At 46.5% G+C, this 16,862-nt stretch overlaps 4 annotated features.

Annotated features, from left to right (window-relative positions):
* Window positions 3,567-4,067: an enhancer, noted in NCBI's record as "H3K27ac hESC enhancer chr12:6543574-6544074 (GRCh37/hg19 assembly coordinates)". NCBI's record gives its function as "activates a minimal SCP1, AML or CMV promoter by ChIP-STARR-seq in naive H9 embryonic stem cells {active_cell/tissue: H9 hESC(naive)}" and the evidence as "EXISTENCE:reporter gene assay evidence [ECO:0000049][PMID:30033119]".
* Window positions 11,258-11,497: an enhancer, noted in NCBI's record as "active region_5853". NCBI's record gives its function as "activates an Ori minimal core promoter by ATAC-STARR-seq in GM12878 lymphoblastoid cells {active_cell/tissue: GM12878}" and the evidence as "EXISTENCE:reporter gene assay evidence [ECO:0000049][PMID:35858748]".
* Window positions 11,538-11,647: an enhancer, noted in NCBI's record as "active region_5852". NCBI's record gives its function as "activates an Ori minimal core promoter by ATAC-STARR-seq in GM12878 lymphoblastoid cells {active_cell/tissue: GM12878}" and the evidence as "EXISTENCE:reporter gene assay evidence [ECO:0000049][PMID:35858748]".
* Window positions 14,959-15,008: an enhancer, noted in NCBI's record as "active region_5851". NCBI's record gives its function as "activates an Ori minimal core promoter by ATAC-STARR-seq in GM12878 lymphoblastoid cells {active_cell/tissue: GM12878}" and the evidence as "EXISTENCE:reporter gene assay evidence [ECO:0000049][PMID:35858748]".

The following is a 16,862-nucleotide window of genomic DNA, read 5'->3' as shown; positions in this document are numbered from 1 at the left end:
CACAATATTTTAAATAAATTAATCATATATTATATACTCAAATAGGTTCTATGTAAGTATATGTAGACATTCTAAAGTTCTAAAGGATGAGATCGAATTACATAGTCACATACAGAAACATAAAAAGGATGAGATTGGCTAGATGCAGTGGCTCATGCCTGTAATCCCAGCACTTTGGGAAGCTGAGGTGGGAGGATCGATGAGCTCAGGAGTTTGAGACCAGTGTGGGCAACAACAACAAAATAATAAAAGTAAAATAAAAACAATGAGATAAGGATAGGAAAAACAATTTTTAAAGATATCACATTTACTTATTTGCAACATAAAAGATCTAGTTGCTCTCATTAAAATATTAATAGGTAACAAAATTTTCCACAATATAATAAAACATTAACAGTAATATATTTAGTAAGAGCAATATGATTTAATGTGTTTTGTTATTAAAAAACTTTCCTCAACACTTTATATAGATTGATCTGAGTCTAAGCACAAATATTTGATTTTTATGACTGACTTAGATGAAAAAGTTTCTCTAGGTCAGACTGTTTCAGGTGTGTTTTCTAATTTTGAATCAAAAGTGCATCTTCAAGCCCATCACAGTGGCTCACACCATAATCTCAGCACTTGGGGAGGCTGAGGCAGGAGGATGGCTTGAGGCCAGGAGTTTGAGACCAGCCTGGGCAACACAGTGAGACCCCACTGTACTCCAGTGCCGGTGACGGAGTGTGACCCCATCTCCATTAAAGAGAGAGAGAGAGGGAAAGAAAGTGCATATTCAACAGGCTTTTTCTGTGGGCCACCTTGGTGGTTGGGTTGAGTACATGTCCCTTCAGTGTTTTTGCAGTTGCTTTTGTCAGACGCCCCAGGGATGTCACTGGCTTGAGACCAGTTTTCATGTTCTTTTCTTGGGGATAAAGGAGGTTTCCCAACCACGTGGGTAATATAAATTTTACCCCCATACCTGGCCGAGCACAGACCTATAGTTATGTTTTTGTTGTTGTTGTTGTTTTTTTTTTGAGACGGAGTCTCGCTCTGTCACCCAGGCTGGAGTGCAGTGGCGCGATCTCGGCTCACTGCAAGCTCCGCCTCCTGGGTTCAGGCCATTCTCTCGCCTCAGCCTCCCAAGTAGATGGGACTACAGGCGCCCGCCACCACGCCCGGCTAATATTTTTGTATTTTTAGTAGAGACAGGGTTTCACCGTGTTCATCAGGATGGTCTCAATCTCCTGACCTCGTGATCCGCCTGCCTCGGCCTCCCAAAGTGCTGGGATTATAGGCGTGAGCCACCATGCCCAGCCTCTTTTTTTGTTTGTTTGTTTGTTTGAGACAGGGTCTCCCTCTGTTGCCTAGGTTGGAGTGCAGTGGCAACACAGCTCAATACAGCCTCAATCTCCTGGGCTCAAGCAATCCTCTTGCCTCAGCCTCTCGAGTAGCTGGGACCACACCTGGCTAATTTTTTTTTTTATTTGTTATCTTTTTGTAGAGACAAAGTCTTGCTATGTAGCCCAGGCTGGCCTTAAATTCCTGGGCTCAAGCAATCCTCCCACCTTTGCCTCCCGAAGTGCTGGGATTACAAGGCGTGAGCCTGGTCACACTTTCTTTTTTGGGACTTGTCACACTTGTGATTTTACGTGATCTGTGATTTATAGGATTAATTTTGATCTGAGGTAAAGCTAATTTCTGAAATCAGATATTATGTAAATTGTTAGGTGTAAGGTTTGAGTGCTGACTACTGAGGTTTTCTGACTCTCAGTCTATGTAGCCAGGGAAGGGCAAGACCTATAAAAGGAATTTCTCAGATACCAGGCAAGGGGAGAAACAGTGAGGGAAAGATGTCGCTATGAAGGGAGCAGTCTTGACCTGGAACTGAAGGGTGGTTCCAGGGCCCAAACCCACTGAGACAGGAGGATCCTGGGATAGGTGGAGAGAGCTTGACTTTCACAACCAGACAGGTTGGTGGTCCAAATGCCTCTCTGCCGGCTACTACCCGCATCATGTCCAGCATGTCCCACAACCTCTTGACTGAGTCCTCATCTGCTTGAGGATAGTGTCGTGCACTTTGCAGCATGTTGGGACAATTAAGGGTAACAATAGAAATGAAATGTCTGGTCTTGTCTTGTTTGGGTACTCAATAAATATTCATTCCTCCTCTCTCTTCCTTGGTATTTGAGGCTGCAAGTCCCAAGAAATGGGGTTGAGGGAACAGCTAGTTAACCTGGGAACGAAACCAAAGGAGTGTGAAAGAGACAGAACGACTCACTAAATTGAACAAGCTGTGCATAGGCGATATGTCTGCTCTGTATGTATTATTCATACTCGGTTCTTCATCACGCAGAATCATGATTTCACAAGGCGACGGGACGTTTCCTCTCACAGTAGGCTCCTGGGCCCCTGGCATTTTTTTTCTTTCTTTTTTTGAGATGGAGTCTCACTCTGTCACCGAGGCTGGAGTGCAGTGGCAAGATCTTGGCTCACTGCAACCTCCACCTCCCAGGTTCAAGCAATTCTCCTGTCTCAGCCTCCCAAGTAGCTGGGATCACAGGCATGCGCTACCACTCCTGGCTAATTTTTGTATTCTTAGTAGAGACGGGGTTTCACCATGTTGACCAGGCTGGTCTGAACTCCTGACCTCAGGTGATCCACCCGCCTTGGCCTCCCAAAGTGCTAGGATTAGAGGCGTAAGCCACTGTGCCCAACTGCCCCTGGCATTTTCTACTCGCTTTTTTTTTTTTTTTTTGAAACAGGGTCTTGCTCTGTCACCCAGGCTGGAGTGCAGTGGCACCATCTCGGCTCACTGTAGCCTCGACCTTCTGAACTCAAGCAATCCTCCTGCTTCAGCCCCCCAAAATATCTGTGACTATAGGCATGCGCCACCAAGCCCAGATAATTAATTAATTTATTTTTTTTGAGATGGAGTTCCGCTCTTGCTGCCTAGGCTGGAGTGCAATGGCGCGATCTCTGCTCACTGCAACCTCTCCCTCCTGGGTTCAAGCGATTCTCCCGCCTCAGCCTCCAGAGTAGCTAGGATTACAGGCATGCGCCACCACGCCCAGCTAATTTTGTATTTTTAGTAGAGACAGGGTTTCTCCATGTTGTTCAGGCTGGTCTCAAACTCCCGATGTCAGGTGATCCGCCAGCCTTGGCCTCCCAAAGTGCTGGGATTACAAGCGTGAGCCACCGTGCCCTGCAAGCCCAGCTAATTTTTGTATTTTTTGTAGAGATGGAGTTTCACCATGTTCCCCAGGCTGGTCTCGAACTCTTGAGCTCAAGTGATCTGCCCACCTTTGCCTCCTAAAATGCTGGGATTACAGGTGTGAGCCACCGTGCTGGGTGGCTGGGCCATTCTTGCTCTTCTGAGTGACTTCCCTTGCTCACCAGATGAGGGAAATGGCTCATGGAGCCAGTCTGGTGATCCTCCCTGTGGCGGGGAGGGAGGCACGCCCCACTTTCCCCAGCTGTTTCTGAGCCTCATGACTGTGAGCCCTGAGAGGGACCTAAGACCTTTGTTTCCCCTGCTAGTCCGTGGTGCGGTGTCTGAGCCTGAGCTCTTAGGGCAGCTTCCTTCCTAGGGCCGTGCTGGAGCCTGCTAGTACTGCCTAGCCAAAGCCCGATCCTTACATTTTCAGGAATTTTGTGAGGTTACTCGTTGGTAGCTTGAAATTGGCCAGCTGGCCATAGTAGGAATACTTACAACCACATACATCAGCAAACGCCATAGATCAAGGGCTTCCCACTCCGAGAGCTGGCTGTTAACCACCGCACCACCACTACTGACTTACTGGGGTGAGGCCCAGTCATTACTTTTAGTCATTTTTTGGGTCTTGGAGAGACAGAGTTCTTTCCTATCTGGGCTCCTGTCCCCTCCTCCTGGCTTCTAGGTAGAAGGTCCTGTGGGCCTATGGGGAGCCCCCATCTTACTGCTCCAGCCAGCTTAGGATTTCAAGCCAGCAGGGCTGGAAAATGATTCCAACCTTCGGCTTTACCCTCTCACTCTACAGCTATCAGAACCGTGGGGTGCAGAGGTGAAATGACTTTCCCTGTGTGGCAGAGCTGGGAGAGAACCCAGGTCTCCTGAACCCCAGTCTACTGTTGACGAGCCCCTACAGAGTGGACGCCTCAAAGGTGCTCATTTCCTGTGCCGATCTGACTGTGTACTCACAGTACCTTCCATGCTCAGCCTGCAGGCATGGCTCAGCCGCCCTTCCTGCCTGTCTTCTTCTGGTCTCATAGACCGTTCCCTGCCCTTTCACTCTATGAGCCCATCCCAACTGCTTTCTCTTCTTTTTTAAAATTGAAATTTAATTATAAAAGCAATATTCATATCACCTCCTTATAAAAAATTAAACCAGCAAAATCCATCATTTTCATCAGTAGGTAAATGCACTAAGAGTGCTTGTACCTGTGCCCCAGGAGACATATGCAAAAATATTCAAGCACTACTGTTTGTAATTCCAAAAGAAAAAGCAAGCAAGCAAGCAAGCTGCTGTGGTGTCTCACACCTGTAATCCCAGCACTTTGAGAGATGGAGGCGGGCAGATGGCTTGAGCCCAGGAGTTTGAGACCAGCTTGGGCTACACGGCAAACCCCCATCTCTACTAAAAATACAAAAATTAGCCGGGCGTGGTGGCACATGCCTGTAGTCCCAGCTACTCTGGAGGCTGAGGCATAAGAATAGCTTGAACCTGAGAGGCGGAGGTTGCAATGAGCCGAGATCGCGCCACTGCAAAAGAAAGGAAGAAAAGAAAGGAGAAGGGAGGAAGGGAGGAAGGAAGGAAGGAAGGAAGGAAAAAGAAAGAGAAAGAAAGAAAGAAAGGAAGAAAGAAAGAAAGAGAAAGAAAGAAAGGAGGAAAAGAAGGGAGGGAAGGAGGGAGGAAGGAAGGAGAGAACGGTAGTTGGATAATAAATTGTTGTATATTCACCCAATGGAATGCTTTAGAGGAATGAATATGAACCACCTGCATGTAGCCATGTAGATTAATTTGCATGAATGTCAAAAATATAATATTGTACATCGTGAATGTACTTCATGCCCCCTGAATTATACATTTAAAAATAGTTTAAATGGTAAATTTTATGTATATTTTACCACAATATAAATAAATAAATAGATAGAAAAACATGTTAAGTGATAGTGCACAAACACACAGAAGCAAGGCATAGAAAAGTACATACGATTCCATTTATAAAGTTCAAAAACAGGCAAAATGAAGCAGTTTGCTGTTCAGGGTGCACACAGATGGTAGAACTAGAAAGGAAAGTGAGGAAGTGATAGACACAAGCCAGAGCTGCTTCCCCCGGTGAGGAGGGAAGGTGTGATCAGGGCGCTTCGAAGGTTCTACTAATCTTCTGATCTGAACGTGGGTTTTCAATGTGTTATTTTTATGTACTATTTTACATATCTTAGTTCACAATAAAAAGTACAAATTATATTTTAAAAATTGGAGGTGAAAATGAAAAAAAATGGAAAATTATAGAGAAGACTCAGGTTCCCTTTGATCAATCTCCTCCCCCAATCCCTGGTCCTCTCCCTACCTCCTTAGTGTAGGCACTGTTTTCAGATTATTGAGTATTCTTCCAGAACTTTCCTAGACAAAAAAGTTATGTGTGTTGTTGTGGGTGTTTTTTGTTTTTTGTTTTTGTTTTTGTTTTTTGACAGAGTCTCTGTTGCCAAGGCTGGAGTGCAGTGGCACATTCTCAGCTCACTGCAGTCTCCACCTCCTGGGTTCAAGTGATTCTCCTGCCTCAGCCACCCAAGCAGCTGGGACCACAGGTGTGCACACCCGGCTAATTTTTGTATTTTTAGTAGAGATGGGGTTTCACCATGTTGGCCAGGCTGGTCTTGAACTCCTGACCTCAATTGATCCAGCTGTCTCAGCCTCCCACAGTGCTGAGATTACAGGCATGAGCCACTGTGGTAGGCATATGTTTATGTTTTTAAAAATTATTTTCTTTCCTTCTTATTTTTTGAGGTGGAGTCTCGCTCTTGTTGTCCAGGCTGGAGTGCAATGGCATGATCTCGGCTCACTGCAACCTTCACCTCCTGGGTTCAAGCAATTCTCCCATCTCAGCCTCCCGAGTAGCTGAGATTATAGGCGCCCCCCACCACATCTGGCTAATTTTTATATTTTAGTAGACATAGGGTTTCACCATGTTGGTCAGGCTGGTCTTGAACTCCTGACCTCAGGTGATCCGCCCATCTCGGCCTCCTGAAGTGCTGGGATTATAGGCGTAAGCCACTATGCCCGGCCTGTTTGTTTGTTTGTTTGTTTTTGTTTTTGTTTTGAGACAGAGTCTCGCTCTGTCACCAGGTTGGAGTGCAATAGCATGATCTTGCCTCACCGCAACCTCCGCCTCCCAGGTTCAAGCGATTCTCCTGCATCAACCTCCCGAGTAGCTGGAATTACAGGTGCATGCCACCATGCCCAGCTAATTTTTGTATTTTTAGTAGAGATGGGGTTTTGCTATGTTGGCCAGGATGGTCTCGATCTCCTGACCTCGTGATCCACCTGCCTCAGCCTCCCAAAGTGCTGGGATTACAGGCGTGAGCCACCACGCCCGGCCAGCCTGTTTTAAAAAATTATTTTATTTTCTACTTAAAATGTTATTAAGCAATAATCAAATATTTCTTACTCTGATTTCTTGGCCCCACTCCTCCTGAGGATTCTCTGCTTGAATTTTTCAGAGCAAGGGCGACCCCTGTCTTAGGAGAGGTAGGAGAGTGCCTCATGGACAGCATCTGGTTGTTCCTTCTCCCTGGCAAGGGGCCTGCCTCTCTTTTTCATACCTGAGATGACCGACAGCAGTAACATCTGACTTTGTCTTTTCCTTTCTTATTTGGGGCATCGCAGGCTACCTATATTTGCTGAAGGAAATCTTACACAAAGCTGCGATAATTCTAGCACAGAGCAAGAAATAGAGCCTAAGGAACAAACCACCCATTTTCTCTCCACTCGGTAAAAAATTATCTCTGGGAAATGAAATAGCCCAAGTCTGGCAGTTCCATGTTCTTCTTCTTTTTGTGTTTTAGAGACAGCCTTGCTTACTCACCCAGGCTGGAGTGCAGTGGCACAATCATGGCTCACTGTAGCCTCGAATTCCTGGGCTCAAGAGATCTTTCTACCTCAGCCTCCAGAGTATCTAGGACCAGAGGTGCACACTACCACGCCTGACTGATTTTTAATTTTATGTAGAGACTGGGTCTCTTTATGTTTCTCAGGCTGGTCTCAAATTCCTGGCCTCAAGAAATCCTTCCACCCCAGCCTCTCAAAGTGCTGAGATTACAGGCATGAACCACTGCCCCTGGTCCATGTTCTTCTTATATTGCTTTTCTAAAGTACTTCTTTTTGCAGATAGAGAAAGGCTTGTTAACTGGCCTCATGACTCAGCCTGCCAGGCACAATTGTCCATCGGCCCCAGCACAGTTGTATTTTTGTGTTTGTTTTGTTCTTTCCATAAATGATATACAGTATGTATCCTACGATTTGCTTTTCGTGCTTTTAATCCAGTTATATGTCTTGGAGATCATTTCATTTTATACTTCTAGAACTACTCGTTTCGTTAAATAGAGAATGGATGTGCAGAGGCTTTTTAGCCATTCTCCTGGTTCCCGAATACTTAGGTTGTTCCCAACAATGCACTATCGTAAGTGGTGTTGCATAAACATCTCATACTTCGCTGTGCATGTGGGAGTGTCTCTCTAGAATAAGTGCGGGGCATCGGAATCGCTGAGTCACAGGGTGTGCACATTTTTCACTTTAACAGATGCTGGCGAGTTGCCCTCCAGAGTGGCCCTACCAATTCACACTCCCACCAGCAGTGGAATGATAGCACATATTTCCTCACGTCCTGCCAGGCTTTCGTATTAGCAAACTGTTTTTGAGCATCTCATTGGAGGAAAGTGCTGTCTCATTGTTTCAGTGTGCACTCTTCCCATTCCCGGGGAGGCTGAGCGTCTTTCCATGATCGCGCTGTTTGTGTTTCCTCTTTTGTGACCAAGGCCTTTTTACCCTTATGTCACCACCAGTGTTCTGAAGTCCACCCTTGGCTCTCCCCCACAGCAATCTTGTCCTCCAGACCCAACCTGCATTGCCTCTGCCAATCACAGGGGTGCCAAACATGGTATACACTTGCCATCTGCCCTGGGGGCTGAAAAAAGCCTCGTGGTGACAGGGGAGATCTCTGCTGTCCCTCCCTTACTAATGTCAGGGGACTTCAGACCTCCACAGAGGGTGTGTCCTTTACCTCACTTGTCACACGGCAGCTGGGACTTGCGTGACCCCTAAACTCCTTCTGCTTCAGCATTTGATGACCCCCCAAACTGCACTGACCTCCAGCCCAAACTGAAGGGATCCCTGGTGCCTGTTGACTTTTACTGAGATGAAATGAATCATTTTAATAATTTAAAAATGTACAATTCAGTGGCTAGACTTTTACTGAGATAAAATGAATCATTTTCATCATTTAAAAATGTGCAATTCAGTGCTTTTACTATATTCACAAAGATGTGCAAATATCACAGATACATTTCTATTTTTGAAAAAGTTATAACTACCCTAGTTGGTGTGAAGTGGTATCTTATTGTGGTTTTGATTTGTATTTCACTAAGACTAATGATGTTGAGAATCTTCTTATGTGCTCATCGCCATTTGTATATTTTCTTTGGAGAAATGTCTGTTCAAGTCCTTTGCCCGTGTTTAAATTAAATTATTTGTGTCTTTTGTTGCTGAGTTGCAAGAGTTTTTTTTTTTTTCTTTTTGATATTATGAATTCTAGACCTTACTAGATAAGTGATTTGAAAATATTTTCTCTGGCCCGGGGCGGGGGCTCACACCTGTAATTCCAGCACTTTGGGAGGCCGAGGCGGGCAGATCACGAGGTCAGGAGATCGAGACCATCCTGGCTAACACAGTGAAACCCCGTCTCTACTAAAAATTAAAAAAAAAAAAAAAAAAAATTTAGCCAGGCGTTGTGGCGGGCGCCTGTAGTCCCAGCTACTCGGGAGGCTGAGGCAGGAGCATGGTGTGGAACCCGGGAGGCAGAGTTTGCAGTGAGCCGAGATCGCACAACTGAACTCCAGCCTGGGCGATAGAGCGAGACTCCGTCTCAGAAAAAAAAAAAAAAAAATTTATCCCATACTGTGGGTTGTCTTTTTACCTTCTTAATAGTGCCCTTTGATGCATAAAAATTTCACATTTTGGGCCGGGCATGGTGGCTCATGCCTGTAATCCCAGCACTTTGGGAGGCCAAGGCGGGCGGATCACGAAGTCAGGAGATGGAGACCAGCCTGGCCAATATGCTGAAACCCCGTCTCTTAAAAATACAAAAAATTAGCCGGGCGTGGTGGCGGGCGCCTGTAGTCCCAGCTACTCGGGAGGCTGAGGCAGGAGAATGGCGTGAACCCAGGAGGCGGAGCTTGCAGTGAGCAGAGATCACGCCACTGCACTCCAGCCTGGGAGACAGAGCGAGACTCCGTCTCAAAAAAAAAAAAAAAAGTTTCACATTTTGATGAAGTCCAGTTTATCTACTGTTTCTTTTGTTGCCTGTGCTTTTGGCATCATATTTGAGAAACTGTTGCCGAATCCAAACTCATACAGATTTTCACTTATATTTCCCTCTAAGAGTTTTATAGTTTTAACTCTTAAATTTAGTTCTTTGATTTATTTTGAGTTAAATTTTTTATCTGGTTTTAGGTAGGGGTCCAACTTCATTCTTTTACTTGTGGATATGCAGTTGTCCTAGCACTGCTTCTTGAAAAGACTATTCTTTTCACACAGAATGGTCTTGGCACCCTTGCTGAAATTAATTGACAATAGATGTATGGGTTGATTTCTGGACTCTAAATTGTATTCCATTGATCTGTATGTCTGTCTTTAGGTCAATACCATGGTTTTGATTACTGTAGCTTTATAGTAAGTTTCGAAATTGGGACTTCAACTTCGTTCTTCTTTTTCAAAATTATTTTGGCTACTCTGTGTCCCTTGCATTTGCATGTGAATTTTAAGATCAGCTTGTCCATTTATGCAAAAAAGAAGGCAGTTAGAATTTCGATGGGGATTGCATAGAGTCTGTAGATGAAATTGGGAAATATTGTTACCTTCAGTCCATGAACACAGATGTCTTTCCATTTATTTAGGATTTCTTTAATGTCTTTCAACAATGTTTTCTAGTTTTCAGTGTATGAGTCTTGCACTTTCTTTGTTAAATGTATACCAAGTTTTTTTTTTTTTTTCTCGAGACAGAGTCTCACTCTGTTGTCCAGGCTGGAGTGCAGCGGCCCAATCTCAGCTCACTGCAGCCTCTGCTTCCCAGGTTCAAGCGATTCTGCAGCCTCAGCCTCCCGAGTAGCTGGGATTATAGGTGCCTGCCACCACGCCTGGCTAATTTTTTGTATTTTTAGTAGAGACAGGGTTTTATCATGTCGGCCAGTCTGGTCTCGAACTCTTGACCTCAGGTGATCCGCCTGCCTTGGCCTCCCAAAATGTGGGAATTACAGATGTGAGCCACCGCACCTGGCCAATGTATGCCTAAGTATTTATTCTTTTTGATGCTATTGTAAATTGAGTTGTTTTTCCTAATTTCATTTTTTTTTTTTTTTGAGATGGAGTTTCGCTCTTGTTGCCCAGGCTGGAGTGCAATGGCGCAGTCTCGGCTCATTGCAATCTCCACCTCCTGGGTTCAAGTGATTCTCCTGCCTCAGCCTCCTGAATAGCTGGGATTACAGGCATGCGCCACACATGCCCAGCTAATTTTGTGTTTTTAGTAGAGACTGGGTTTTACCATCATGGTTAGGCTGGTCTCAAACTCCTGACCTCAGGTGATCCCGCCTGCCTCGGCCTCCCAAAGTGCTAGGATTACAAGCATGAGCCACTGTGCCCGGCCCCTAATTTCAATTTCATTTTCTTTCTTTCTTTTTTTCTTCTTCTTTTTTTTTTTTTAGACAGTGTCTCGCTCTGTCACCCAGACTGAGTGGGGAGTGCAGTGGTGCAACCTCGGCTCACTGCAGCCTGCACTTCCCGGGTTCAAGTGATCCTCCCACTTCAGCCTCCCGAGTAGCTGGGACTACAGGTGCATGCCATCATGCCTGTCTACTTTTTGTATTTTTTTGAAGACATGTGGTTTTGCCATGTTGCCCAGGCTGGTCTGGAACTCCTGGGCTCAAGTGATCCACCCGCCTTGGACTCTCAAAATGATTACAGGTGTGAGCCACTGCGCCCAGCCCCGAATTTCATTTTCAAGTTGCTCTTTGCCCATGTAGCAGTTGACATTTGAAGAAGGCAGTTGTTTTCTCCAGAGTTGGAAGGTGGCACCTTGAGGTGTAGGCGTGTTGCTATGACACCCTGTGGGCCGTTGCTGGGGCTCTCTTGTGACTTTTCTGAAGTCACGGATGGAGAGTTTGACTCTGTGACACAAAGGGAAACATGTCTGACTAATCTTTCCCACACTCCCTTTGCCTCTGATGGCTCCCTCGGCTAGGAGAGGAGAGGAAGAGAGTGGGTTGGTGGGGCCTCACCCTTTATTACAGGTGCTTCCTCTGACCCTTCTCTTCTGCAGGATTTTTGGGGCAGCTACTGAAGGGACAGGCACTCCCAAAGGGCAAGGGCTGTGGCAGCCTTCTCTTTTACCCATAAGTTGGCCAGAATTGATGCTGTCTACTTGTTTTTTTTGTTTGTTTGTTTTGTTTTGTTTTTTGGGAGATGGAGCCTCCCTCTGTCACCCAGGCTGGAGTTCTCTCACCCAGGCTGGAGTGCAGTGGCGCGATCTTGGCTCACTGCAACTTCTGCCTCAGCCTTGGGTTCGGGTTCAAACAATTCTCATGCCTCAGCCTCCCAAGTAGCTGGGACCCCAGGCACACACCATCATCCCTGCTTAATTGTTTTGTATTTTTAGTAGAGATGGGGTTTCGCCGTGTTGGCCAGGCTGGTCTTGAACTCCTGGTCTCAAGTTATCTGCCCACCTCGGTCTTTCATTGTGCTAGGATTACAGGTGTGAGCCACCGCACCCGGCCTGATGCTCCCTACTTTGATGTGCATAGAGGAATGTTGCAGGCCACAGGCATAGGCAGGGTCCTGGTGGCTGGTGATGTCAGAGAAGCCTGGGGGGGAAGTCCAAGGATCAATCAGCTGGTGAAAATCTGAAGGAGCGGAGGATGATTCGAGTAAATCTGTGCTGCTTGGCCTGCGTCCAAGGCCGTCTCTCTGCTCAGTCACTTGCTGGCTGCCCAGTTGCTCAGGCTCCGTGGGTTTGTTTCCACTGTCACATGGGGATGCAGATGCTGGCCTCGGAGGGCGGGTGTGAGCAGCCATGTTTGGTAACTCGGGTGAATGCCCTGCTAGGACTTGATGCAGAAGAGGTGCCAGTCAGTGTTCACTGGAGTATGACTTGATCACCAGCAACTTCCTTCTTGACTGGGATAGGGCAACATGAGAGCTGAGAGTTCCTTAAGTGGGGCCGTGCTCAGAATGGAAGGGAAAGAGTGAAGAAATCTACTAGGAAGAGGTGTATGGGAGGCGTATGCGACAAATCTCACCTTTATGAGAGCTCAGCTAGTCAGTGGGAGCTTTAGGTTGAACGGTGTGGGTGCTTCTAGGGCTGAGGAGACCCCATCATATTTTCACGCCAAAGGAATGGGGTGGGCCGGATGGGGAGAGCTGCAAGAAGCAGGATGTTGCAAGTTTGTGTGGTTTGTTTGTTTCTTTTGTTTTGTGAGACAGGGTCTGGCTCTGTTGCCCAGGCTAGAGTGTAGTGGTGTGATCACGGCTCACTGTAGCCTCGAACTCCTCGCCTCAAGCAGTCCTCCCACCTCAGCCTCCCGAGTAGCTGGAACTACAGGCGCACGCCATGAAGCCCAGCTAGTTTTTGCATTTTTACTAGGGACAGGGTTTCACCAGGTTGTCCAGGCTGGTCTTGAACTCCTGGGCTCAAAGCGATCTGCCCGCCTCAGTCTTCCAAAGTGCTAGGATTACAGGCATGAGCCACCATGCCCGGCAATTATACATTTTAAATATTAATATAATAATGAGGCTAATCTATAATACTTCTATGTCAAATTGTTTAAAATTTTTTTAATTTTTTTTTCTGTAGTTTCATGCATTTCCTATTTAAGTATTAATATATGTCAGATTCTTTTAAGCATTACAAAAACTTTAAGTACCAAATGCATGCAGTGGTTAAAACCTGTTTGAAACTTAGCATGAGTTTGATTTGCTTCATCACTTTTGATTTTTATCAGTTAAGGTTTGACCAGAGAGTCAAAACCACTATGAGTGTTATGGAATAAGGAACTTATTTTAGAGATTAGACCTTAATCAATCATGGCAGCTGGGGAAGGAGTCTTTGGAGGCCTCCGTATCTGTGGTGGACCTGAGGTCACTATGGGTCAGTTGGGAGAAGCACTGGATGTGAAGTGGGGGCAGGGCAAAGGCCATCCGGAGCCTGCGTCTGTGCCTCACCACCACCCACCCCGATGGTATGGGTGTCTGCAGAAGGACCTAGCACTCCTTGCCACGGAGTTGCACTTGTGTGGCCAAGAATTAGAGAAGCTGAAGGAGGCGATCTGACGGGAGCTGGAAGAGCTGCCAGTCTGGCTGCCATCCGTGCAGACAAGGTGAGCCAGCAGATGACTGTCACCCCATGCTGGCCTCAGAGCACGACGGCCGCTCCTATTCTGTTTTCCTACCTCTCAAATCTTACATTTCTCTTGTGGCCAACCCTCACCCAGAACCATACAGGGATTAATTTCCAAGAAATATGGTTTCGTCTTAGCTAAGTTGAGAGGGTAAAAGCCATCATAAAGATTGATTCCAAACCTTCTTGGGGTTAAAAGAACACTCGTCCCCAAGGGGAACGGTTTTACTCAAGTGGGCAGTGTATGACCGTGATCTGTGATTACCGTCTCAGGAAGGCTAACCTTATTTATTTGCCAGATTTGAGGCTAGGAAGCCAGACTTGGGCCTGCGTACATCTATATAGTTCTCAGTTTAGTACAATGTTCCCTTAAATGTTTCAAACTACATTATAAATTTAATAGTTCTGAGTTTGTCTAAGTCTATACCCTTTTTAAAAATTAAAAAAATTTTTTCGCATTGACAACTAATCAAAAGAAGAGTCCATATGCTTCTGATGGGTTTAGATTTGCAACCTGCCTCCTGGGTCCAAATCGTACCCCCACTAGAGTATCTGGAAGTCTGGAATCTCCACCCTCAAGCTGCAGCCCTTCTTGGTGCCTCTTCCTTTTGGCCTGGCTACTGGATCCTTTCCTTATTCTTTCTGTCCGAGTAGGTCACCACTCCATAGCCATATGCATACCTCTGCAGGGCTCTGCTCACAACCCTGAAGTCATGCTCATGCCTGTGAGCACTGGACAGGATCCTGCACGGCCTCAGGAGGAACTCCAGGGAGTGGAGAACAGAAGCGCATGCCACGTTCACGCAGGGTCAGGATCTTACCCATCCAGGGCAGAGATTTTCCCCAGGGAGGAGGGATTACAGGTGCATATGCTGGCACCTGTAATCCCAGCTACTCAGGGTCACCTCTACGGGAGGGACTGAAGCCAGCAAGAACCATACACAAACTCTGTCCTAAAAGGAGCTGGTGAAGTCCCCTGGGGAAGGGGTAGAAGGGCCTTGGGGCCAGTTGCATAACTGGGACCTTCAAGCTGTGGCTCCCTGCCCAAGGAGCCTCTGCTATCCAGTCATGCGCTTGATTCCAATGGAGGCAGGAAGCGCGTCGTCCCATCTGTCTGGGCTTTGGGTGCCCTCTTGTGGCAGAATAGTGATTTCGCTCTTCACACTGTCTCACGTGGCCCTCTCAGGAGCCCAATTAGGGCTTCAAGGCTGTTATTTTGAAGATACGTTTATCGCAGCACTGTTTACAAGAGCAGGGATATGGAATCAACCTAGGGGCCCACCAATGGATGATTGTATAAAGAAAATGTGGCATATTTATACCATGGAATACTACTCAGCCATTAAAAAGAATGAAATTACATCTTTTGCAGCAATGTGGATGGAACCCTTAGAGGCCATTACCTTAAGTGAAATAATTCAGAGACAGAGTCAAATACTGCATGTTCTCATTTATAAGTGGGAGCTAAATAATGTGTGCACATGGACACAGAGAGTGCAATAGTAGACATTGGAGATTTGGAAAGGTGGGAGGGTGGGAGGTGGGTGAGGGATGAGAAATTTCCCAATGGGTACAATGTACACTATTCGGATCGTGGTTATACTAAAAGCCCAGACTCCACCACTACTCAATATATCCATGTAACAAAACTGCACTGTACTCCCTACATCTATAAAAAGAAAACAAAATGGGATTCTAACAGAAAAAAAAGGGACATAAGGGCAGAGGTGCCAGGCGTCGGGTATCCTCCCAGGGCTTCTCTTGTGTCAGCACAGCAGGCTGGGTTTCAGCAAGTTCAAAGAATTTGAGGAACCCCCTAAGGGAGGGCCACTGGTGGGGGCAGAGGGGTGATCCCAAGTACTCCTATCTGTGACTTGAAGAATCTATCTTTAACATAACCTAAAAGAATATACCAAAGGCTGGGCGTGGTGGCTCACGCCTGTAATCCCAATACTTTGGGAGGCTGAGGCTGGCGGATCACGAGGTCAAGAGATTGAGACCATCCTAGCCAACATGGTGAAACCCCATCTTTACTAAAAATACAAAAATTAGCTGGGCATGGTGGCAAGTGCCTATAGTCCCAGCTACTCGGGAGGCTGAGGCAGGAGAATCGCTTGAACCCGGAAGGCAGAGGTTGCAGTGAGCCGAGATTGCAGCACTGCACTCCAGCTTGGGTGATAGAGCGAGACTCCATCTCAAATAAAAAAAAAAAGAAAGAAAGAAAAAAAGAATGCACCAAAGTATGACCTGATCTTGTTTTCTTTTTAAAATTAAAATAGGGGCCGGGTGCGGTGGCTCACACCTGTAATCCCAGCACTTTGGGAGGCCGAGGCATGCGGATCACGAGGTCAGGAGATCGAGACCATCCTGGTCAACATGGTGAAACCTGTCTCTACTAAAAATACAAAAATTAGCTGGATGCGTTGGCACGTGCCTGTAATCCCAGCTACTTGGCAGGCTGAGGCAGGAGAATCGCTTAAACCCGGGAGGCAGAGGTTGCAGTGAGCTGAGATCATGGCATTGCACTCCAGCATGGGCAACAGAGCAAGAATCTGTCTCAAAATAAATAAATAAATAAATAAATAAAATTAAAAAATTAAAATAGGGACAGAGTCTTGCTATGTTGCCCATGCTGGTTCCAACTCCCCTGGCCTCAAGCAATCTTCCCACTTCAGCCTCCCAAAGTTCTAGGGTTACATGAGTGAGCCACCACGCCTGGTTATGATCTGAACATAAAAGCTCCTGTGGCTGGGTGCGGTGGCTCACGCCTGTATTCCCAGCACTTTGGGAGGCCAAGGTGAGTGGATTACCTGAGGTCAGGAGTTCAAGACCAGTCTGGCCAACATGGTGAAATCTTGTCTCTATTAAAAATTAGCTGGGCGTGGTGGCGGGCGCCTATAGTCCCAGCTACTCGGGAGGCTGAGGCAGGAGAATGGTGTGAACCCGGGAGGCGGAGTTTGCAGTGAGCCAAGATCACGCCACTGCACTCCAGCCTGAGCGACAGAGCGAGACTCCGTCTCAAAAAAAAAAAAAAAAAAAAAAAAAAAAAAAAAAATTAGCCAGGTGTAGTGGCAGGCGCCTGTGATTCCAGCTACTCGGGAGGCTGAGACAGGAGAATCGCTTGAACCTGGGAGGCAGAGGTTGCAGTGAGTCAAGATCGCGCCACCGCACTCCAGCCTGGGTGACAGAGTAAGACTCCATCTCAAAAAAAAGAAAGAAAGAAAGAAAGAAAGAAGGAA

This window comes from Homo sapiens, chromosome 12, assembly GCF_000001405.40.
Source record: "Homo sapiens chromosome 12, GRCh38.p14 Primary Assembly".
Classification (NCBI taxonomy): Eukaryota; Metazoa; Chordata; class Mammalia; order Primates; family Hominidae; genus Homo; species Homo sapiens.
The sequence above is the reverse complement of the archived record's forward strand: the minus strand, read 5'-3'. Positions and strand labels throughout refer to the sequence as shown.